General features: G+C 40.6%; 1 long non-coding RNA gene and 1 pseudogene across 6 annotated transcripts in view; one reads left to right on the top strand and one right to left on the bottom strand.

Moving 5' to 3' along the window:
- LOC107983981 (uncharacterized) overlaps positions 1–25,563 on the bottom strand; it is a 417,903-nt gene that overhangs the window by 265,750 nt on the left and 126,590 nt on the right. The gene's annotated exons all lie outside the window — the stretch shown is intronic.
- On the top strand, positions 17,324–18,962 carry EEF1A1P22 (eukaryotic translation elongation factor 1 alpha 1 pseudogene 22; annotated as a pseudogene).

Here is a 25,563-nt window from a genome sequence, read left to right as displayed (position 1 = left end):
ACGACAGGCACCAGCCACCACACCCAGCTAATTTTTTTTTTTTTGTATTTTTAGTAGAGATGGGCCAAAGCTAGAACTCTTAAAGCATCATGCTGTACTGTCCAATCTAGAACTTTCAAGCAGCCCTTGCATATTTTATTTCTGTGAAATAGATAATGTAATTTCAATGACACTAGCAAAACTAGAGTTATGTTGACTAGTGGTTGAGAGCAAGGGCTCTGGAGCCAGTCAAGGCTGCAATCCTGGCATCATCACTCGTGGTCTGGGTAACTTTGGGCAAGGCATTGACCTTCATCAATCTCAATTTACTTTCTCTTGAAGGATGCTAATAATAGCATCTAAACCATAAAGTTGTGGTGAGGAGTAAATGATATTAGCAAATTGAAAGCGCATAGAGCAGTACTTGGCTCCCAGTATTTAATAGAGAGCACATTAAATGTTACTTTTTGGTCATAATTTTTAGTACTATGCAACATCCAAAAAGACAGGGGCTTGGTCTTAAGGCCTTGTTTGTACAGATGAGTATATGCCTAGTTTCAACTTTTGTTCGTGACACTTAATGCATTAGGCCCCATAACATATCTGAAACATGCTGTTAAATACAGGCCTCCAATTCAATAGGTATACAGAGAATTAGGACTGTATCAAGGGAAAGAAGTGATGATAAATGTTCCCAAAGAAACTTGTTTTCTGATAGTTCAGTAATTTGCCATCAAATTTGCACTTGCCCTGCAGCATGAGAAAGCATCAGTTCAAGGAAGCTAAATCTATTCTCTTGCTAAAATACAGAGTTGAGGTCCTAAGGTAAACTTTCTTTGCAGGAATTAATAATTCAAGTCAGACACAAACCACCAAACAAGTCTCAACAAAGAGTTTCGATACCTATGAGAATAAAAGAAGATGGTATCACGACTTTGTAATAATAAGGAGTAAAGATATTTTCTGGAAGGGGAAAGGAGGGCAATGGGCTATGTGAAATTCCAAGGATCCGGGCAGTCTTTCTAGAAGACATATAACACAGCACATTGACATGAGCAAGTAGTCACTTCATAAATGTTTTATTATCATAGTAATTAGAATTCAGAACTACTTACTTTAGTTTAACCTTCTGAATGATTGTTTTGAGGGCCTTTCTCCAAAGACTTTCCTATTATAATCTTACCTCTGAGTATAATTTCACCTCTGGAAAGAGACTGGGGAAGGAAAAGAAGATGTCCTGAGTATCTTTAGTGCATTCGAGAGCCCACAAATTCTACCTGGAGTGCTCTGACCTGATGCATCCAAACGGGGTGTTGGAGTAGGCTTTGCTCCCTGTGGTCTGTCAGTCATACTCCCAGTTTGCTGCTTAATCAACCCATACATGTAGGCAGGTATCTGAGTATGAACATATTTTGCATTTCAGAAAAAAAAAAAAGACAAGAGGTCTTTGCAATGTGTCTGATCCAATTATACGAGCCCATAGAAAAGCACAGAAAGGTTCAGAGGAGCCCACGGTGAGAGAAGAGTCCAGAATAACTTTATTGGTGGTCTTGAAGAGCTGGGCTAATACACCTCAATGAGCCATTAAAGGAGGAAGGGGAAAGAGAGAGGGTGATAAACATGCATCTTCATTCAAACGTACTCATCAACAAAGCCTGCCTTTTCCATATGGACAACTACTACTGTTAGTTTTTAAGTAGTGATAAGAGCTCGTGAAGCACACAGGACCCTTACCTGGAGCACCATTAACAAAAACTCTTAATCAGAGGTGGGCAAGGGCCTCTGACCACACATTTATCTTTTCAGCTAAATGCATATGCTCAGGAAGCAATTCTGTCCCAGGGAGATCTTCAAAAAACAAATATATACATTCTGCTCTAAAGTTGAACACAGAATACAAGATGTTCATCAACAGGGCAAAGCCCACACACAAAATAACAGCCCTTTTCAGAGAAGCAGGCCTCTCTGAAAATCTATGGGCAGAACCTACTTAAGCATGAAGAAATATTTTATTCAGGATGCAGATAAAAACAACAAATGTAATATTACACCACTTTTGCTGCATTGAAAAATCAGCAAGTTCTTTTAACGAAGTGCATTCCTATTTGTAAGGTATTCAATAGCTGACTTTTAATTAAATAAACAAGAATTGTACAAAGTTAGGATTTGACTTCTCAGTCATTTACCTTTATTTTTTAGGCATTTGGGATTACCAAGGAAGAGGCATTGTTTCTCCTCTGTTCTTCCTCTTTCAACACATGACCCCAGAAGTTTATCCAAAGCCACAAGTCAAAGAATTATACGTGCGTTACCTAAAACCCTAAGACCCTTGGGAACAGCACCCAGAGTCAATAAGCGCATCAAGGAAGTCCATATCAGAAAAAAAGAAGAAGAAAACTAGAATCAAAATTAAGGACCTGTGAGTTCTGGTCTGAGATGCTTCCTGACCTTGGCTAAGTCATTTCTTCCCATGTTGGACTGAGTCCTCCTCCAGTACTTCATATAAGTGGGACAATTACAGGAGCTAAAATGAATATTGAGGTGGAGCAAAATACAGCAGGCTGTAACAGAGCTGCAAAGTGGTATGGAAGAACAGAAGAAGTGATGAATTCTGATTTGAGAACAGCAAGGGCCCCGGAAGATCTGAACTTCAGTGAGTTGGTGTCCAGGGTCATCAAAGAAATGGAACATTCTTTTCTAGCTATTATAGAAGGTCTCTTTAAATCTGTCCAAAATATTGGAACTACCTCATTAAAGGTGCCTGGAGGTTATATTTGGAACCAATCTTGATTTCATGGTCCTGAGTCTAAGTCTTGATTAGATCATTGATTTTTTTTCACTCTTGATGGGCCCCCATTTCCTATTCAGAATCCAGTTTCAAACTCAAAGGTACAACCTCCGAAGCTGGACTTCTAAAAAGGAAGATAATATCATCCCTCGCAAGCTTGCCTCAGCACTGTACCCAGAATCAACTCCACAATGGCTCTAGCACTTCCAGGTCTTTTTAACACAGCCCAGGCCATAAGATGTGTTCAGCCATCTAAGAGGGACACCATGGGACCTCAGCAGACCACTGGATCCCAACCATATTTACGCACATTGTGACAAACATTGAGTGTGCACTATGTATAAAACACTATAAAGAAGAAGAACATTAGAAACTATGCCTCTTCTCAAGGAGGTCTTGATCCACTAGGGAAGAGATTAACCTGAAGCTGAAATGTCTTATGATAGAGACACAAAATGTTATCAGAGCTCAAAAGATTACGGTTCTGTGTGGAAGTACTAAGAATACCTCCAAGAAGCTACATTCTCATGGGAATCCCTGGGTCTCTCTACATGCCCAACAACTCAGCTGACTTTGAACCCTATTGGCCTGACCTGTAGGGCCAGGCGACAACCCTAACAGGTAACACCTGCCTTGGTCATCACCCAAGAGTGTGTTGAAGGTTTTAACTTGTCACATAGTTAAATTACCTGCAGGCCTTGAGGAGGGGCCAGTCCTAGTATCTTCATTCAGATAACCAACTTGAAATGCTGGGAAAAGCTTTCAAGAGGAGGAAGTTTTTGACCTAGCTCTTGAAAAACATTCAATTTTAATGACTGTTTGTATATCTCTGTTGGAGGCCAGAGAAAAAGAGAGAGAAAGTGCATTCTCTGCAAAAAGAAGTGGTAAGAACAAAGGCACAAATGTGGGTGCATGTATTCTCTCAGTTATACAAAGGGACAGAGGTTAACCTTATGTCAGTTAACCTTATTACAGAGGTGGATACAGCAAGTTTCATGAAGCTCTAAGAACCTCTTTGCCGAATGAGGATACTCATGGATACTAAGTTTACTAAGTTCCTACTACAGTATTAGACACATATAATAAGTAAATAAAACAAAAACTCATGGATTAATTTAATTACCTCAATGATTGGGATATATCATCCCAATGTTGTGGTCATAAAGTACTGAAGACTCATGGTTTGCTAAAATAAATTTGGACGATAGGACTTTTGGCTGCTTATGTATACGGTGTAAAGATACTGATTCAGCTACCCTTTAATAATATCCCCCTGTTTTCATATGAAGACCAAATTTAACTGATGGGTGACAGTATAATGAACTCAACAAAGCTCTAGAAACTAGGTTTGTATAAATATCAAGACTAGACTCTTGAGAGGTTTTAGGGATGGAAGCAAAAGGGACAATGAGAATGCCTGCACCTACTCACCAGTTATCCCTGTGTAATGATGCTAGGGAAGCCTCCTTGTGTCTGACCCCAAACCGTAGCTCAGTCTGTCTGGATAAGCTAGTAAGGTGTGGGTGCACTGTAGCTGCCAGAGTCTTCCCACCCTCTCTTCCAAAGGATCCTCAACAGCTTTTACAGCCACTTAATGAGCCACGTGGCCTGACAGCTGTGGAAGCCACCAGCAAAGAACTGAGCAACCGTCTACTACAACCAGACAGGGAATGAGAAAGGAGGACAGAATTTGGGCAATTCCTTCCCATCTACAGCTCCATCAGGTATGAATGGCAGAGAGGTGAAGTAACTTTCTCTTCACAAACCTGCTTCCATCCAGCTTTTGTTTCCACTCCCTCCAGGCTATCCCTGGGGCTTCAGGTCCTCTCCATCAACCACCCATCTTGGTATGCAGTGTATAGGAAAATTGTCAGCAGTGGTATTTGCTACTTGACACTTTGTACCAGAACGACCAAAAAACATACAAAAAAATTATAATAAAAAAGAAGGTAAATCATCCATCTTCTGCAGATGCTGCTGGTCTATGAAGACTAAGGGTAAGCTGACATTCAACTTTGCTTTCAGTGACATCCACCTCTAAAACTGACTGCACAGAGGCCTTAACCCAACAATAATTATGCAGCAGTCTACTCAATGCCACTCACTCATATTCAGAGGGGAGCCAGTTTAAGAGGTAGGCAGAGAGCTACACTTTCTAATGCTGCACTCTGCCACAGATGTACCCTACTATGAATGTTAAACTTAGGCTCTGATATAGTTTGGATGTTTGTCCCCTCCAGATCTCATGTTGAAATGTGATCCCCAGTGTTGGAGGTGGGGCCTGGTGGGATGTGTTTGGATCATTGAGGCAGATCCTTCATGAATGACTTGCTGCCCTCCCCATGGTAATGGGTGAGTTCTTGCTCTGTAAGTTCACAAAAGAGCTGGTTGTTTAAAACAGACTGGTATCTTTCTCTTGGCATCTCTCTCACATGTGATATGCCAGCTCCCCTTCCCTTTATGCCATGACTGGATGCTCCCTGAAGCCCTCACCAGATGCAGATGCTGGCATCATGCTTCTAGTACAGCCTGCAGAATGGTGAGCCAAATAAACCTCCTTTCTTTATAAATTACCCAGCCTCAGATATTCCTTTACAGCAAAGCAAAATGGACTAATATCGGCTGTATTGAATTATTTTGCATTCCCTGAACCCACATAATCTAAATCATTCAATTAATTCAACAAATACTCATTAAGTACTGCTGTGGATCAGGCACTGTTCCAGGTGCTAGCAACACGGCAAGAGAGACAAAAACCTCTGTTCTTATAAAACTTCACTCTAGTGGGAAAAGCTACCAGATAGATAGATGGATGGATAGACAGATAGATGGATGGATGGATAGATAGATAGATAGATAGATAGATAGATAGAGAATTAAATAAAAATAAAATACAGTAAGATAGAGAATAACAAGGTGGTCAGACTGAGCAGCTGCTATTTTAAATAAGGTGATCCAGGAAGAATCTGAGAAGGAAATATTTGAGTAGAGCCTTAAAGGAAGTGAGGAAGAAAACCATGCATCTAACTGGGGAAACAGTACACCAGGAAGAAGAGATTGTCAGTGTAAAGGCAGGGCTGCCCTCTAGATCACGTAGGGCTTTGTGGACCATTGTCAAACCCTGGCTTTTATGCTGAGCAAGCCATTGCAGTGTTTTGAACAGAGGTGTAACAACATTGGACTTGCGTTTTGAATGGATGATTCTGGCTGCTGTGGAGAAAATGGCTTATAAGGGGGACAAGGTGCCCACCTAGAAGAGCTCAGACAACCAGCCTTGACAGCAACCTCAGAGCCTGCCAGTGGGACAGACATGGGCAAGAGAGCCTCTTGCCTCCCTTGCCTTTCACCCCATTGGAATTTCTCTCTCTATGTCAAAAAATGGTTCCAGAGTTTGCACTGCTTTAGAGAAGGAGTGAAATTTTCACGGCTTTAGAGAAGCATTTAACTTCCTTTTTATTTTTTATTTTTTAGAGACAGGGTCTTACTCTCTCACCCAGGCTTCAGTGCAGTGATACAGTCATTGCTCACTGTAACCTTGAACTTCCAGGCTCAAGCAATCCTCTTGCCTCAATTCTGAGTAGCTGGAACTACAGCCATGTGCCACCACGCCTGGGTAACTTTTTTTTTTAATTTTTAGTTTTAGAGACAGGGTTGTGCTGTGTTGCCCAGGCTGGTCTCAAACTCCTGGCCTCAAGCAATCCTTCCACCTCAGTCTCCCAACGTTCTGAAATGACAGGCATGAGCCACTGTGCCTGGCTGCATTTTATCTCTTAACACACTTCTCCCTCAAGGCTGTTGTTCAGGGATGAGCAAAGAGAGCCACTTTTCAGATTCTTGGCTGAGGCCATTGTTGCCAACAGACAATTGTCACCTTCCTACATTTCTCCAGTTGCCTAGGCAACAAGTGGTCCTACCTCTTCAGAAACATCCTAAATTATACTAGGTGCTACTCAGTGCACATGGAAGGCATGGACCCCAACCCAAGCAAATTTCTTGAAAGGAGAAATATAAGAAAGATGCTAAAATCGGAAGTTTTCTGGTTCTAACTCTGCCACCAACTCGCTCTGTGTCCTTGGGAAAGTTCTAGTGTCCTCATCTGAAAATAAGGTCATGTCCATCTATCCATTTATTCGTTCCACTACATTTTAATAAGCATGTTTCATAGTCTAAGCCCCTGTCCAAAGTACTGATGATTAAAAAGATGAATACAATTTGGTCACTGTTCTCAACGGGCTTCCAATAAATTGAGACAAATGGCTCTGATAATTACATATAATATGATGTGATGATTGCAATAAAGAAATAAGAACAAAAACTGCAGGGAGCACAGAAGAGGAAACCTCGCCTAAGTATCTTTGCAGCCCCAGTACTCTATGACCCCTGAATCTACTTTGGAGTGTCTGTCACTCAATGGCCTTAGAAAAGGCTTCTCCTAGGTGACAATGTCTCAACTTTGGCTAATTGAAGTCAGTTCTTCAATAAAAGTGCTAACTTCACTTCTTACCAGCCAATAGGGAAGAGTCATCAAGAAAGTTGGGCCATTCTGCTAAATGTAGAAAAGCCAACACTAATCCCAATTTTATATATATTTGAAAAATTATCATCTAAAACTTGGTGAAGTGCTTCAAGGTGCCTGGAACAGCCAGACAGGCTGCCCTGGGGACATGTTGACCTTGGCTTAACAGTCCAAGGAGATGACAACACCTTTAGAGGGTAGAGAGATTGCGCTGGCACCACTGGCTCCTCCACCAGGTTGGCACCAGTCCCTAGAACCGTACCTTGAAACTTCATTCATTTGCCTTCTAACTGATAATAGGTCTAACTTGAAGCACAGAGGGACTGTGACCCAGACAGCTTTCTCCATTCACCCAAAGACTTATTCTTTAAAAAATATATATCTCTGTAGTAGTCAGTATATGCTCATCTCTATACCAGGTGCCTAAGAATGCCCCTGTCCCTCAGAAAGCAAGTTACACTTGAGCCAACCTCAGTTCCATGCCTCCTGGTGTCCTGAGTTCTCCCTGTGGCCTTCTGGAGTTCCCATGGCTTTCTGCCAAGCATCACTGCCTCCATGCACCAGCAGCACATGCTTCCTCAGTTCTTTCTTTGTGTAAATTTCACTGCCAATCTCAGCCCAGAAATAAGTTTTCATAAAGCCAGTGTACGCATACACACAAAATTCACTCAAAGTCAAGCATTTAGTGAGTTCTTCTTACTGGAGATTCTGGGGTGGGGTCAGAGGAAGGGGTCACATCAGAGAACTTGCGGCCTACCAGCCAGTCTCTCATGGCCTCCACCCGCTTCCTTTCTCTTATTCCATTTTCTCCCTAGAGCGACAAACAGCCTATTCCTCTCTTCTCATGTGAAACAGTTGAGCTGCCTTCAGCAGGCTCCTGGAGGTCTCCTCTTTACCCCAAGCACCCATCAGAGTTTCTTCCTCAATACTTCCTTTTCCTTTTCTAATCAAGAATGATACAATGAACACTGGGGACTTGGGGGGAAGAGTGGGAGGGGGCGAGGGACTACAAATATGGTACAGTGTATACTGCTTGGGTGTTGGGTGCACCAAAATCTCACAAATCACCACTAAAGAACTTACTCATGTAACCAAATAGAACCTGTATGCCAATAACATATGGAAAAATGAATATTAAAAAGAATTTTAAAACACAATAAACAACCACATCATACCTGCCCCCCCAAAAAACATCTAATGAAATAAAAGAAAATCTATAAAGTCCCTCATCCCCAGTCCTTGAAGAGATTTACCAACAACTCTTTGTTAACATCCAAGGAAAGTCACACTTCTTACATTTGTATGGATTTCACAGGTAGCAATTAAGCACACAAATAGCTTGGAGGCTAAGAATGCAGTTTATAAGCCTGTGTAGCATAAGCCTAAAGTCTGTCCCTTAAAGATTAAATTTGGAGTAATTTTCAATATAGTCACTTCAGTGTTCTCCATCACTGGTGTGCTAGCTCTGATACAAGAGTGGCCAGTTTAACGTGGGCCAGGGATGTAGCTAAAGGCATCTGGAGCAGAGCAAGGCCAGGGTCAGCCTGAGACATTAAGACACATAAGCAGAAGAACAAAGACAAGTTCTCTGGATATTCCTGTCTAAAAATCCCACTGATACTCTGGTGAGATGGTCTGAGGGTTAATGCCAAGTGCGCACCAAGGTTCTACCCATATCTGGTATTTAATGTTCTATGTATGTGCACGTAGAGTTGAAGCCCTTTCAGCATTACAGTAACCCCATAGTGGATTGACTATTTGAAAGAGTTGGTTAGAAATAAAATAAAAATAGTAACAGATTCTTACCTTAAATTTTGCTATTTCATCTTAAAACATACGCAACCATATATTCATTTGTTAATCTTTTGATGTAAATAAAGCCAAGGCCTAAGTGTGGGCCCTCTAATTGGGGTTCTGTAAAGTCTTGTTTATGTACACTAGGCCCATATAATGCCTCAACAACTCTCAGTTTCCATTTCTTTAAAGCAGAATGAAAACTTAGAAGTACTGATAAAGCATCTAATTTGTAGACTTTTGTAGCTTTTCCCAATTATTTACAGTTATCTCATCCATATCTTATATAATAGCAAAAATTCTAGAGACTTGATTTTATCCAGCCTTTTCAGAAAATTCAAATTAGTTTCAGCAGAACCAATTTTCTTTCATTTTTATATTCATGTTTCCTCAATTTATGTAATATTTAATTAAATTATGTAATTACAATAGCAAGTACAAGTGTCATAAACAGTTTGGGAACAAACCCAACTGGTTTTGTAAGCATCAACTCACCTGGTAACACGTGTCCTGGGTGCCAGATAGTAGCCTCCTGACTGTGGGTGTTCAATGCTGGGCCTTGAGCCCAGTCAGTATGTTTTTTAGATGGAATAGAGAAGTAGGTTAAATGGAAGTTGGATAAGAGAGATTCCATGGTATATTCATGGTCATGTACACATATATTAGAAGTCAGAATAATCCCTTCTTGTCAAATGGTCTACCTCCTCCTTATCCTTTCAACTCAGAAAGCATGCCTTCTTACTCCCTTCTTTGCTAAACTTCATGCATAAAGAGAAAAAACTCACAGGATAGTCCAGTGTCACTTTGCTGCAACTCCTAAATCTTTGACTAAGTAAAATAGTGAGGTGAGAAATTCAGCTGGAATAGTTTAGATATTGAAGAGGCAGGAGGAGCTTTCAGCTTAGTGGAACAGGGTCTCTACCACAATGCTCTCCTGCCTCAAAATATCACCTCCACAAGTATTGAAAATGTTTATGTCCACATTTATTGACTGAGGCTTATTGGGAGACAATAAGGGCTAATTTGCTCTACTTAACAAAGTAACTGAGTTTTTCCTTTCCAATTTGTCTGGAGCATCCCAAGAGACAGGGGGATGGAGAGCCCTGGACCTGGGAAAAGAGGAGTGAGGAGATGAGTGACCCGAATGGGAAGTTGTCTAGCAGTAGGCAGGGGCTGAAAGAAAAAATGGCCAAAGAGAGGTTCCTGGTGTGAAGAATACTGGAGAATTCCAGGTCAGTAATACTGGCCATATTTACTTAATGCTTATACTTGTCCATGCGGCGATGCTCCTCTCCTTAGATTCCTCAAAACCATCAGTCCAAGTCTCTGATTTGTAATATCTTCTGTTGATAGTGCTTTCGGCAACAGCACTTGTATTGCCGGGTGGAGCAATGTGAGCCTAATAGAAGACAGAAGCTTCAGGATGCAAAACACTGAGTGGGGACAGAGAGACAACCAGAGGCAGGGGTTGAAGCAAAAGGTGACAGGAGTCCTTTGGGAGATCCACAGAAACATGAAGCTCTGTTTATGACACCATAAGCAGGCTGTGCCATCAAGAAGTTTTCAGTCTTATCAATGTGTCCCCATGAAACATTAATATAAGAAGAGAAGGTATCATGGACTATTGTGAATGGCAAGTCGTTTGTGTGGTAGAAGTTACACACCAAGCAGACTGCAGTGCTGACTAAAAAGTATTTCATGGGTTAGAAAAGAGAGGACATGCTTTAATCTCATGATATCTGATATGGTTTTGCTGTGTCCCCACCCAAATCTCATCTTGATTTGTAGTTTCCATAATTCCCACGTGTTGTGGGAGAGGCCCAGTGGGAGATAATTGAATGATGGCGGCAGTTTCCCCCATACTGTTCTGGTGGTAGTAAATAAGTCTCACGAGATATGATGGTTTTATAAGGGGAAACCCCTTTCGCTTGGTTCTCATTCTCTCTCTTGCCTGCCACCTTGTAAGACTTTCCTTTTGCCTTCCACCATGATTTTGAGGACTCCCCAGCCATGTGGAACCGTGAGTCCACTAAGCCTCTTTTTCTTTACAAATTACCCAGTCTTGGGTATGTCTTTATCAGAAGCGTGAAAATGAACTAATTCAATATCCTTATCAGGAACTACTGTTTACATTCAAAAGAGAACATGAGCACTGCAAAAGAAGGATACTTCCTCAGACCTTGTCCCCATCACTGTTCTCTCTATGAGATACAGGATGTGCATGGGTGATTTCCACTGTCACAGATTTGGACATATTTTTATATTGATTTTTGCTCTAAAAGTTTAATTTACCAGTATTCAAAATGGACTTCCATAATGAAACGGAACCTTTCTATGCCAATAGGCAAGTGTTCCACTATGCATGGATGCGGAATCTTCAGTTCCCTGGGCCCAGGCAGCACATGGTCATTACTCATGTTCCTCAAATCCTCTGATGCATGTCCTGACAGGAAGCACAGCTTCCTTTGTCACTGTCCACTCTCTCTGCAGTGGCCCACGGTGGCCCTTTCCATGGTGCTGTGGCTGCAGTGCCCACCGGGGCAGAGAAACACATACAATGGATATACACAGAGCTTGCCTGGACCCAAGTCAGTCTGGTTTAGAGAATCCCTGAAAGATATGTGAAATATCTGCGGAATCAAAGAGTTCCCAAGCATCACAGATTTCTAAAAAGAAAATTTAAACATTCTATTCTGCACAAGGGTATTGACAAAGAATAAAAGGAGAGCTAGAATCAAAGGAAGTTTCCAATATGGGTCCTTGGGTAAGCCTGCCCACTCCATCGTTGTCACACACTTCAAGTAATTATTGCTTGCTGCATGAAAGGAAAATGGTTTTCTCAAACCATTTTTTCCCCACCCATCCGCTGTCAGAAAGGTCATTATGATGGAAGATGTGTCTACAGAATTGCACAGGGCAAAACAAAACACACCACTACTGTCAAAAGGTAATAGTGCCTCCATGTAACAGAATATGAAGTCCCTATTTTCCATCCCAGTAGTATGCATTAGGTTATTATACACATGTTTGTAAGAAGGAATGAGAGATAAACTATGCAGACTCATACTGTGTCCTTCATGTACACCCACACATTTGGTTTTAAATGGGAAGATCTTAAAAGTCCTGTTTTAGCCCCTATTTCCCTACCTCCTTCATAACCCTGGTTTTAAACTTTACCGTCAATATGCTGTGTTTATCATTCTTAAAAGGTAGGGGATACAGAGCTGGCAATAACACTAAGTCATTTGGGGCATGCATTGTAAGTTACAGAGAAAACACAGGTTCTGGTTTATTATGCCAAAGCTGTAAAGCCGTGAATACAAAATATGGCTAGCAGTCACCTTGCTTTATTCTTCTTTTAACAACTTACTAACAGTGTGTAAATATAAAGCAAACTTTTATTTTTCCATCAGAGTTCTCTGAAACAGATACTGGAGTGCATTTAACATCGTGACCAGAAATATTGAAATTTGACAGCTAAGAGGTTAAAGGTCTCAAATTTATACATCGAGGTGTTTGTTCCTGTCATCGTCCCAGCAGCTTGCTCAGAATAACCCCTTTTGCTTACTGAACCTTTGAGAAACAGAGAACATTAAGTAATACATCTTGGCAGACATCCTGGGATTCTACTCCCACCAGGAAGGAAGCCATCCTTAAGCATCACTAAAAGAATTCTGTGGCTATTAAAAAGACATCCGTGCAAGCCGGGTGTTTAACTACATTGTGCAGAAAAATTTATTGTTTGGGCCCCTACTTCAAAAATGTCAGCCTGTAATTCCGGACTTTGTGCTTGGTTTCACGCAAACCTCTCATCTGACGCTGCCTTCTACCAAAATGCTATTTGCTGATAACATGGAAAATGACCACTTGAGCTCTTCCTGGAAAAAATGGGAATACTACCTCACTCTGGCAAAATTTCTCTTCAGCACAAACACTCCCTTCGTTTCACTGCCTATTTCAGTACTGCCCCTCCCTTCTGGCAACTCCTCACGCCTCCCCCACTCCCCAGGTACCCAGACTGCCCTGTCCGCCACCTGCCCATTCAAACTAGCAGCCAGTCAGAATCCACAGTGGATTTTGAGAAGATCTGGGTCCACCTCAAAGCCTGGACTCTTTAAATGTATACATCTAATAGCTAATTTGAAAATTCTATTTTCTCAAATAAGACAGTAGTAAACTATAACAAGAGTTAATTCTAAAGGGACAAGGAGACAATTGTCATCATCATATCTCACATATATGATGTACTTATCTGGTCCTATGTAAAATGGAGCACATGGATTAATTTATTTAATCCTCATAACAACCCCGTTAGGCCTATGCCGTTTTATACTCTCTCCTTTTTTTTAACAGCAAAATGACAAAGATTTTTTTAAGCTGCCTTAAGATAAAGATTCTGGGTCGTCTCTTAGGCTCACCCACCAGGGATATGATTGGTTTCCACAGCAAAAGGTACACTTTCTAAATGTCATAAATCTTTGAGATTACTTGCAAATCATCGAAGCTTAGAATAGTAAATCCTGGAATACCAGGGGTTTGCCTCAAACCCATTCTTAATAAAAGTATACTTCACTGATAGGTTAACATGTTACCCCTCCCAGGGATATTTTTCATCTAATGCTATCTTAAACCAGGGGGATTCGTAGTCAAAGATCGAACATCAGGCAGCACCTTTCTGCGAGAAAGGAGAGATACTCTTGTGGCTCTTTGAATTATGTTATATCAAATAACCATTTCTCTTTGTACAAGGCCCTACCTGGTTGAAGTAAAACAAAACAAGCAAGCCAGACTGAATGCTGCCTTACCCCTGCTTCCAGGAATTTTTAGAAGAAAAGGACATGAAAACCATAATTGAACAATAAGAAAATGAAACGTATTTATTTTTAATGCATAGATGTTACTTAAGAGTTGCCCCCATTAATGCTGTGAGGGCAAGAAAAAACTTCAAACATTTCCTGCAGCTAGTGGCTCTCAAACTAGAGCTTGCGTCGGAATGACCTGGAGTGACTGTTCAAACACAGATTGCTGGGCCCTAAATCAGAGTTTCTGATTTTGCTTTTCTAGCAAGTTCCCAAGTAACGCTGATGCTGCTGATCTAGAGACCACACTTTGAGAACCACTGCTTCTTGTTAGGTCACGGAAAGAATTTCTGGGTTTCCCTAGGTGTTTGAGGATTGGTCAGGGCGCTACCCAAGGTTTATTTCTAGCAGTGATTCTTACAGTAGCTCAAGGTGAGGCTTCAGCTGAGATTTGTAGGATGGGTGGGAGTCAACGCAGCCAAGAGGCCTTGAGAAGAGCTGTCCACCAGTGAAAGGTCAGAGTGACTGGCACTGCAGACTCAGACTGGGCAAGCCTCAGCTGGAAGGCTGAGCTGGAGCTCCCTCAGGGAGGTAGGCAGTCAGATAAACACCAGGACAGGGAGAGTATTCTGCTGCTCAGAAACACGACCTCCAAAACAGTACTCAAGGCTGGGCAGAGGGCAATGCCCACGGGCATGTGTGCACACACACACGCATGCATCCACCTCAGGAACTGCACCAGAGGAGGTAGATGGAAATGTTCCCTTTGCGTGAGCCAAAACCCAGGTTGGCCAATTTATTGCCCTCCAAAGAAACTGAAATTGACATGAACTCCCCCAAACCTAAGCAGAAGCATAAGGTGAAAGGGAAATAAAATGCTACAAATAAATAGGTATTTTATGTGTCTGCCATAACACCTGCATAGAAGAGAAAAGGGAAGAAAATCTATTTTACACCTCAAATCTAAAGATTTTACAATCCTTTCAAGTTTTTATATTAGGACCTAGACTCGGAATTTTATATATGTTGCCCACTCTTTACAGCTGATAGAATAAATGCAAGGGGAAAAAACAGGATAGATGAGGTACCACATTGCCCCTTCCTCATATTTTGTGAAAATTATCTTTTCTAAGACTCACAAAAGCCTCAATCTCTGCCTGAGTTATTAGGGGGGCTTTAAAAGCCACAGCTTTTGTGGACCTTTCAGCGTGGCATTTGGGCTCAAGGTTTTTTTAGCTCATCCACAGGTACCGGATTTATGACTGCTTATGGTCAGAAAAGCATGGCTGTGCTACATGAGGTTTAGAATGATCTTGGATGACTCTTTCACCTCCATTGTGTCCTCTAAATGTTGAAGAATAGTGCATGAATAGTTTCAGCAGTCATGAAAGTTATTTCCTAGTTCCCATCTAAGAACAACAAGCTAATAAGCTAATTGACACCTTAACATCAGCTGTGCCCTATTCGTGGAATGACAGCCCACCTGTCAGGTCCCTTCCCAAAAAGGCACACTGTCTGTTGATGCTCACACATCATAGCTTCTTTGGGCAGCACATTTTCCCTCAAGCCTTAAAACCTGTTATTAAGGCAGACTTCAGCACCATTTAAGTGACTTGCAAGCAAGCCTCTCGCTAATGAATATTAAACCCCTTGGGTCAGTGAGGTCCTCCGCCTTTCCCTATGGATAGGGTAAGACAAGATGCCATTTTTTCTTTTGGCGACCTAATGAATCTCTAACTGCTGATTTGTTTCCGTTTTCAGTCTAGAATAAACAAAAAGGCTTACAGCCTCCTTCTATGGTCGCCTGAGCTCACCAAACACCATGCAAAGGCAGCAATTTTTCATTATTGATAAAATGTAATGTCATAATGTCACGGCCTTTCAGGTCATCATCTTTGTAAGTCAGCAATGACATTATCACATTTTATAATGATAATAAATGGCCATAATGTTTGCATGTTATTTTCATTGGCTCCTCCTGAATTCTAATTCAACACCATCAACAGAAGAAACTCAACAGCAACTTCAAAGGTCTACCTCCTTAGATCTGCTCAAGGCTAATAGTAAAATTTGCAAGAATCAAAGCTAATTAAAAGCATAAGGACCATTTTTACCCCATTGACTAAATGCCTCACCTTTAGAAAGAATTTTTGCAGAATGTATTTTTACTGTTGGATTTTGGCACCTAAATGCATTAAATATATCTACTTCCTATTCATTCATGAACTCTCACTAACCCCTTTCTGTCCCGTTCCTGCCTGTGCTTCTCTAATCTGTCTAGTGATTTTTGAGTGCTGCATTCTGCCAGTTTCACAATAATCATAGAACACTAATTGGTCTAAATTATAAGAATCATTCATGGGGCACTTATTTCCACACATTAGCCTTCTGGCTCCACTCCTTGCTGAACAAGTAGAAATATTTCATTGTTTAGCCCCAGAACTCAAACAAGCATTCTTCAGAAAGCAATTTTTTTGGTTCATCAACAATACAGAGTAACAGAGAAATAGAGTAGAGTCAGAATAAATTCACACTCCAGTCCTAAATACGCTAAACCTAAAATAGACTTGAGAGACTTCAGGGAATGTTTTACAACCTGTAGCACTTCACAAAGAAAGAAACGGAGTGAGACCCTGTCTCAAAAAGGAAAGAAAGAAAGAAAGAGAGAGAGAGAGAGAGAGAAAGAAAGAAAGAAAGAAAGAAAGAAAGAAAGAAACAAAGAAAGAAAGAAAGAAACAAAGAAAGAAAGAAAGAAAGAAAGAAAGAAAGAAAGAAAGAAAGAAAGAAAGAAAGAAAGATAGAAAGAAAGAAAGAAAGAAAGAAACAAAGAAAGAAAGAAGAAAGAAAGAAAAGGAAACAAAGAAAGGAAGGAAGGGAGAGAAGGAAGGAAATTATCATTTGCTGAGCTCTGCACTGGTGTATCTCATCTGATCTTCAATGATCCCTAAAAGATAAGAATCATTCTCTGCTTTTAAAAGATAAGGAAACTGAGACTCAAGGAGAGTAGGCCGCTGATGGGTCACAAAAGCAGCGATCAAACTTCACAGTTGTAACTTCAAAGCTCATGAATGTTCCATTGCACAAAACTCCTAAATTAGACATTCCACTACTACAGAAGGAAGAATCAAACCTTCTGATCAGCCCCAAATAAAATCATATATTTAGTAAAACAACAGATATCAGTAGATTTCAGATGCAGAAAATATTTATTTTGCCATTAATACATCCAGCTAGACTGCTGTGGTACCATAGTCTCAGAGCAGGCCATCTTAATTGAGTTAATGACTTCCATTCATCTGTGTGATTCTTCATTGATGTATTTTCCACATTATTCAGTATGTTTCACTATTGTCATTGAAAACTGGGCCAAATTAGGCAGTTTCATGAGATTTGTAGATCAGCAGCCCTTTAGCTGATACAATAAAACCATGTAAAAAGTATATAGTGCTTTTTCACAATGGGTTTGCCACCAGAACACAGGTGTCATGAAAACTACCCCTAAAAGCCAAAATGGGAGAGGAAAAGACTTATATCAACATTGTCATCATTGGACGCATAGGTTCGGGCAAGTCCACCACTGCTGGCCATCTGATCTACAAATGCAGTGGCATTGACAAAAGAACCATTGAAAATTTGAGAAGGAGGCTGCTGAGATGGGAAAGGGCTCCTTCAAGTATGCCTGGGTCTTGGATAAACTGAAAGCTGAGCGTGAACATGGTATCACCATTCATATCTCCTTGTGGAAATTTGAGACCAGCAGGTACTATGTGACTATCACTGATGTCCCAGGACACAGAGACTTCATCAAAAATATGATTACAGGGACATCTCAGGCTGACTGTGCTGTCCTGATAGTTGCTGCTGGTGTTGGTGAGTTTGAGGCTGGTATCTCCAAGAATGAGCAGACCTGAAAGCCTGCCCTTCTGGCTTACACACTGGGTGTGAAAGAACTAATTGTTGGTGTTAACAAAATGAATTCCACGGAGCCACACTACAGCCAGTAGAGATACGAGGAAATCTTTAAGGAGGTCAGCACTTACACTAAGAAAATTGGCTACAACCCTGGCACAGTAGCATTTGTGCCAATTTCTGATTGGAATGGTGGCAACATGCTGGAGCCAAGTGCTAACATGCCTTGGTTCAAGGGATGGAAATTCACCTGTAACTACTGCAGCGCCATTGGACCTACGCTGCTTGAGGCTCTGGACTGCATCCTACCACCAACTCGTCCAACTGACAAGCCCTGCTTCTCCAGGATGTCTACAAAATTGATGGTATTGGTACTGTTCCTATTGGCCAAGTGGAGACTGGTGTTCTCAAACCTGGTATGGTGGTCATCTTTGCTCCAGTCAACATTACAACTGAAGTAAAATCTGTCAAAAGGCACCATGAAGATTTGAGTGAAGCTCTTCCTGGGGACAATGTGGGCTTCAATGTCAAGAATGTGTCTGTCAAGGATCTTTGTCGTGGCAACTTTGCTGGTGACAGCAAAAATGACCCACCAATGGAAGCAGCTGGCTTCACTGCTCAGATGATTATCCTGAACCGTCCAGGCCTAATCAGCCCTGGCTACGTCCCTGTACTGGATTGCCACATGGCTCACCTTGCATGCAAGTTTGCTGAGCTGAAGAAAAGATTGATCGCCATTCTGGTAAAAAGCTGGAAGATGGCCCTAAATTCTTGAAGTCTGGTGATGCTGCCATCGTTGACATGGTTCCTGTAAAGCCCATGTGTGTTAAGAGCTTCTCAGACTATCCACCTCTGGATCGCTTTGCTGTTCATGATATGAGACAGACAGTTGTCATGGGTGTCATCAAAGCAGTGGACAAGAAGGCTGCTGGAGCTGGCAAGGTAGCCAAGTCTGCCTAGAAAGCTCAGAAGGCTAAATGAATATTATCCCTAATACCTGCCACCCCAGTCTTAATCAGTGGTGGAAGAATGGTCTCATAACTGTTTGTTTCAATTGGGCACTTAAGTTTAGTAGTAAAAGACTGGTTAATGACAACGATGCATCGTAAAACATTCAGAAGGAAAGGAGAATGTTTTGTGGACCACTTTGGCTTTCTTTTTTGCGAGTGACAGTTTTTAAGTTATTAGTTTTTAAAATCAGTACTTTTTAATGGAAACAACTTGGCCAAAAATTTGTCACAGAATTTTGAGACCCATTTAAAAAGTTTAATGAGAGTAAAAAAAAAGAGTATATAATGGTGTTGGTATAAGAGCTTCCCACACCTGTTCTAGTCAATGAAAGGAGGTACTTATACCACTTCCACTTAAAATAACAAACATTTCTGCAAGGACTTCACTGCTCTCAAAGCACTATTCACTATGCTATTGCATTTATCCTGATAGCAAACTCATGCTCAGATAAGGAAACAGATTGCTTAACTTGTCCAAGTTCATACATACACCAAGTGACAAAAATAAATTCCAACAGAGGTCTTCCAGCTCAACTGCCTATACTCTTTCCATTCTAACAAAGCCTTTAGTACATTTAGGGCAAGTGATTTCTAAGAGCAATGCATCAATATTCAGATCGGCCTTCCCTCGAAGGGGCAGACCAGGCAAACATCCAGACCTCATAACAATTTAAGCTTTCTAGAAATGGAATGCTGGTATGGAGGAAGGTGGAGAAAGGATTTTCAGAGTGGGGTTTAACAATCTATTCTATGCATTAACTCACAAGCACATGTTGAGGAAGGAAATAGGCTACTCCTCCTCATTCCTTCATTTGTTCATTCATTCAACACATGTTTCTGAATACCGCCTCTAGGACAATATTATGCAAGCACTGAGGATAGAATAGTGAATGACACACATTGACCTGCCCTTGTGGAGCTCACATTTATGAAGATGAGTTAGACATTAAACAGCTAGCGTCATGAGCAATCATCTCACTACCATCAATATAAGTGAAAACTAGTTGTAAGAATGCAGTGCTACAGGAGGACTTGACCAGTGCCAGGGGACTAAAAATGCCCTTTCTAAGACTGAGACATGTACATTAATATACGAGGCAAGAGTAAATAAAAATCACAAAGCAAAACATTAGGAAATCAAGGGAATTTTCCATTCTTGCCTCCATCCTCAAGGCTCCTTCTTGCTTGGTTTCCCATGCTCTATTAGCCAAATGCCATGGCTAACAAAGCAGATGGCTACCATAATGGTTACTAGCTGAACCATCATTCAGCATTTGCCTGGTCTAACTCATAGCCTCTTTAGAGAGCTGTAAACATATAATTTTGACAGGTTAGAGGCAGCCTTACTGACATGCCTGATGGTTTTCTTCCAAGTCAGATTTTAAATCATAGCTAGTCTGGCGGGTGTTGCAGGGACCACCCCTTTCCCTTTCCTGCCTCTTTTTACAATTCCTCACACTAAGCCATATGCAGCCACTGCACATGAAGCCACACAAGACTCCACATCCCCTGACTTCTGTGTCCTCTTTTTTTTTGTTAACTATTTCCTGTTCTTGGATATTGCTATAGACTGAATTGTGACCCCTAAACTTTCTATGTTAAAGCCCTAACCCCAAATATGACTATATTTCACGATGGGACCTTTAGGGAGGTAATTAAGTTAAAATGAGGCCATAAGGGTGGGGCCCTGATCTGATAGAATCAGTGTCCTAATAAGGAGAGACACCAAAGAGCAATCTCTCTCCACACCCTTACAGAGGAAGGGCTTTGTGAGGACAGCGAGAAGGCACCCATCTGCAAGCCAGGAAGAGATACTTCACTAGAACAAAGCCTGTTGACACCTTGGTCTTGGACTTCCAGCCTCCAGAACCGTGAGAAAAAAAATTTCTCTTGTTTAAGCCACCCAGTCTCTGATGTTTTTATGGAAGCCTCAGCTGACAAGAATATAAACTTGAAAACAGAAATCTGCCAGGTATAGCACATCCATTAAAAAGTGCTAATGGGGCTGTATATGAGTATTACAAAGGTAGTAATTGTACAACTTGTGCTCCCGGCTCTAGAGGCTGGGAAGAGGAAATGGCAGTAGCTGGGGGAAAAAAAATCATTGAGGGGATTGTCCAGATAGGAAGACTATAACCTTCACAGTTCCCACTGCATCATTGCAGGCAAATGACAACAATTTTAGATATCTGCTCCTAAACCTTGTTTTTAAGTTATCTTCACCATATTCCATAATTATATATTCCAGGAAGGCCCTTTCTGAATAATTTTGGAATGGTTTATATCAGAAAGAGCTGTAGCCATCTAGTTCCTGGGAGCACGCTCCTCACCAGAAGACAGACAGTACAGTCATTGTTTGCCAATAAGGAATTAATCTGGAGAGAGAAGAAGCTTTAAAGAAAATATTTTGATAAGGCTTTTAGGATTTGGTAAGCCAAATTTCATGGAACTTGATATCCTTGGTAGCCATAGAAATACCAGACGTAGCTATTGTCTAATCTTCAATTGTAGGAGCATTTGAGGGAAAGGGTCCAAATCATACAAGTTTATCTGTAGCTGTAAAACAAAAATTAGTCTTTCCTTGAGATAAATTGGAAGCAGACAGAATGCTTTACTTAGGATTAGGTATTCTTCTTGCAGGATACTTAATACTGAGTAACCTAAAGGAACAGGGCATTGTATCTGTCAGTTATGTTTAATAATTCTGTATAATAAACCACCCTAAAACTCAATGGCATTCAACAATAAGCATTTTTATTTCTCACTCATAAATCAGCAGGTTAGCAATGGCTTGGCTGGACTCAGCTGCAAGTTGGATTCAGGTCTGCTCCGCCTCTCTCCATCCTCCTTGGACACAGTAGCTACCCAGACTTATTATTCTCATCGAAAAATTGGAAGCACGAGAAGACAAGCACAACTCCAGCAAGACACTTTAAGCCTTTTCTTTAAGTCTTTGTCAAAGCAAATCACACAACTAAGCCCAAGATTCAAGTGCAAGCAGGGAAGGACATCTCACCCACCATGAGGCCAAAGCAAGTTATAGGGCCAAGCCCAACATCAACAGGGTGGAAAGATTTACTTCTCCAGTGTGGGAAGGTGGGGAGGAGAGTGAATATTTGCTTAACTATAATCAAACTAACCACAGGGATATTATTATCTCTATTTTACAGTTAGGAAAACAGATCACTCACCCAAACTGCAGAGCTACGATGTGAACCCAAGCTTATATTTTTTCCAAAGTTCATATTCTTTCCATTCTGCTGCCCTCTAGTTAATGGAAGGGAAAACATAGGGAAACATTGTCATAGTGGCAAAAGGCAGCAATGGATTGAAGGGACATAGTTATAAACTAATACAGGGGTTGGGGGTTGGGGTGCCCAGTGGTGGAAAAAACAGATAGAAGCTAGTCTATCAAATACATGTTGATTTCACCCATTGAAAAAAATATATATTTACTGAGCGCCCACAATGCACTAGGTACTGTGGTAGGATTTGTCATCCCAGACAGGCATCTGTCAATGCTTGATGAAAATTGGTTCAGTGAAATCAAGTTTTACAGGCTGTGCCAATGACCTTCCAGGTCCTTTGGAAGGCATGTTCCCTTCTGCACACCTTGCCATCTAATCCCACACTGCCAGACCTAACCCCCACCAAGACCTCCTCTACCCCCCAATCCCTCCTCCACCACCAGACAGCTCAGCACCTTTAAGTTGCCTGATACTATTTGGTATTATTATTTGTGCCAAATGATAAATAAAAGCTTTATCACATCTTAAATATAAATAGTTCATGCAAATCAATAAGAAATACATAAGTACCCGATAGAAAAAGATCAGTAAGATCATGACTACTCAATGAACAACAAAAAAAGAAAATCATGAAAAAATGTTTAACTATAAAAGTGTCCATCAGCTAAGACCAAGCACCACAAGACCATTCTGACATGTAGCCCATACTGGAATAACTTCTTAAGCCAGCCAGCATTTTCTACCCCAGAATTGACCCTCCCTACTACAGTTTTCATACAGTCTGTCCTACCACCACACTCTCATCCTTACAAATATACACATCCTCAGCTCTCCTGACCACAATCTCTGCTGGTCCAAAAATTATCTCATAATAAATTCTTCGATTACTTCATACTGCCCATATTGTGCTCAGCTACCTTGCAGTCTAGTCTTGCTTGAAGCAATTTAAATATTTCCTGAAGTCACTCAAAGACTTTACTCATAAGACACAGCAAAGCTTTTTAAAATCCCTTTTACCATCATTTCTCCTTAACCCACTTGTCTCTAACATTTCTTTCTTCTCTCTTCCTCTAAACTCCCCACACAATTCTCTGGAATCCAGCCTCCATGGATTCCCTTCTTCTGATCTTTCCCTGCACTCCATCCTTTTGTTCTATCAATGCCCTAGGATCTATTCAATGAGCCAGATGCTGTTGGCCTCATGGTCCTTGTTGCTCGCACTGCCCTAAAATGCTCTTCACCTGGATACCCACTTGGTTCGTTCTTGTTCCTCCTTCAGGCCTTTATGCAAATGCCACCTTTGCTGTGAGGCCTTTTCAGCCCATGCCAGGGAAAACAGCATGTTCCCATCCCACACTTGCTACTCCCTGTCCTCCTTCCCTGCCTTCTCTATAATTGTAGCATGTATTTGCATCTGACATGCTATCCATTTTATTTCTTTGTTTACCTTTTATCTCCCCTCGGTGGAGTGCAAGATACATTAAGGTGGGGGGATGTTGTCTGTTTTGCTCACTGCTGTTTCCCCAGCAAAGTGCCTGGCATTTAGGGTGCCTTCAAAAATAGGTATTCACCCATTATGCTTGTTCTGCATAATAAAGGACCAAGAAGAAACTGGCAAAATTGATGATGATGAAGGTGATGAAGGGGAGGGAAGCTGTGGACACTCCGCATGTAATATCTTTTTTCTTTGTTTGCTTTATTGCACCGTAGCACTGTCTTTGGCCTGACCCAGCCTGCAGGATACTCCTACCAATACAGGCACCTGCCCACCTGTCTCTTCTGGACCACCCTATAATCACTCTGTGTTCCCTTGTTCCCACCATATTCCTCAGTGATCTGAACCTGTTCTGTTTCATCCTCTCAGGAAGAGGTAATACCTTTGTTCATTTTTGATACGTTAAGCCTACAATTCCAGTGACCCTTTCTAGTGCAATGTGGTGTGCCTGGGCTTATTCTTAAAGGACTTCCCACAGAGACAGGGCTTTACCCATAGGAATAAGTTACCCATAGGAATAAGGAATGGTTAGAAATTATGGCCTCCAAGCCAAGATATACACCTGAGACACCATCAGCCATAACTCCTCTGGAGAAAAGCAGCTCATTTTTATGCCATATGAGAGGACTTTCTCTGTCATGGAAACAAGGTCATCCAAATAGACAATAAGATCACTGATCTCTGTGACGTGACCATGGAGAAACACCAAAGTGCTCTGCCCTCAATGTAATGCCATTAGAATGTTTCTGAGCACAGACATGTCCTGAAATATAGTTGAGAGATTATCAACAGATGTATATTTTACCCTTGTTCTTCCTAGCTCTCATTTACCATAGATAATTGGGAATTGACTGAATCAGATGGACAGTAAATAGAATGTCAATTTATTTCTACTAAAATCCAATCAACTGCTTATACTCCTCTCTTTCCTCATCCATTTGTTTACACTGTTAGGTAAAAAAAAAAAATAAGGTATATATGTATAAAAATATATGACTTACATAACTAGAAGTCTAAAGTTAAATTTTAAAGCAACAAGAAAAAATTATAGGTAAATATTTACCTGACTTATGTGAAGGAAAAAATATTTAATCATAAAAAGAAAGAAATAAACACCATTGAAAAAGATGTTTTCTTTCAAAATATAAAACTTCATAACTATCATTTATACCAAATGATGAAAAGCTTTAATGCATTTTATATATAAAGAGTTCCTATAAATAAATAAGAAATATATCAGTACCCTGTAGAAAAAAATAAGAAAAAATAATAGTCAATAAACAAAAAATGAATAAATAATAAAAAATGTTTAACTTCAGCAATAATCAAGGATGTGCACACATAAGCAAGATGGGTCCCCAACAAAATACTAGCAAACCAAATTCAACGGCACACAGAAAAGATCATACAACATAATCAAGCGAGATTTATCCCTGGGGTGCAAGGATAGCTCTGCATACACAAATCAATCAATGTGATATACAACATTAACATAATGAATGATTTTTAAAAATCACACAATCATCTGAATAAATGCAGGAAAAGCATTTGAAAAAATTCAACACCTTTTTATGATAAAAAACACTCAACAAACTAGGTATTGAAGGAATGTATCTCCTATAATAAAAGCTATATATAAAAAGCCCATAAACTAAAAGCTTTTCCTCTAAGATCAGGAATAAGCCCAGGCTATCATCTCTTACTTCTGCTCAACATAGTATTAAAAGTCCTAGCCAGAGTAATTAGGCAAGAAAAAGAAATTAAAAGCCTCCAAATTGGAAGGAAGGATGTAAAATTGTCTCTGTCTATAGATGACATGATCCTATATATAGCAAACCCTAAAGGCTCCACAGAAAAATTCTTAGAACTAATAAATGAATTCGGTAATGCTGCAGGATACAAAGTTGAGATTTTAAAAAATCAACTGCATTTTTACATACTAACAAATGACCCAAAAGAAAATTAAGAAAAGTCTCATTTATAATGGCATTTAAAAGAATGAAATACATAGAAATAAACTTAACC

The sequence above is a fragment of the Homo sapiens genome, chromosome 15 (assembly GCF_000001405.40).
Source record: "Homo sapiens chromosome 15, GRCh38.p14 Primary Assembly".
Classification (NCBI taxonomy): domain Eukaryota; kingdom Metazoa; phylum Chordata; class Mammalia; order Primates; family Hominidae; genus Homo; species Homo sapiens.
Note: the sequence above shows the minus strand (reverse complement) of the source record. Positions and strands in the feature narration are given on the sequence as shown.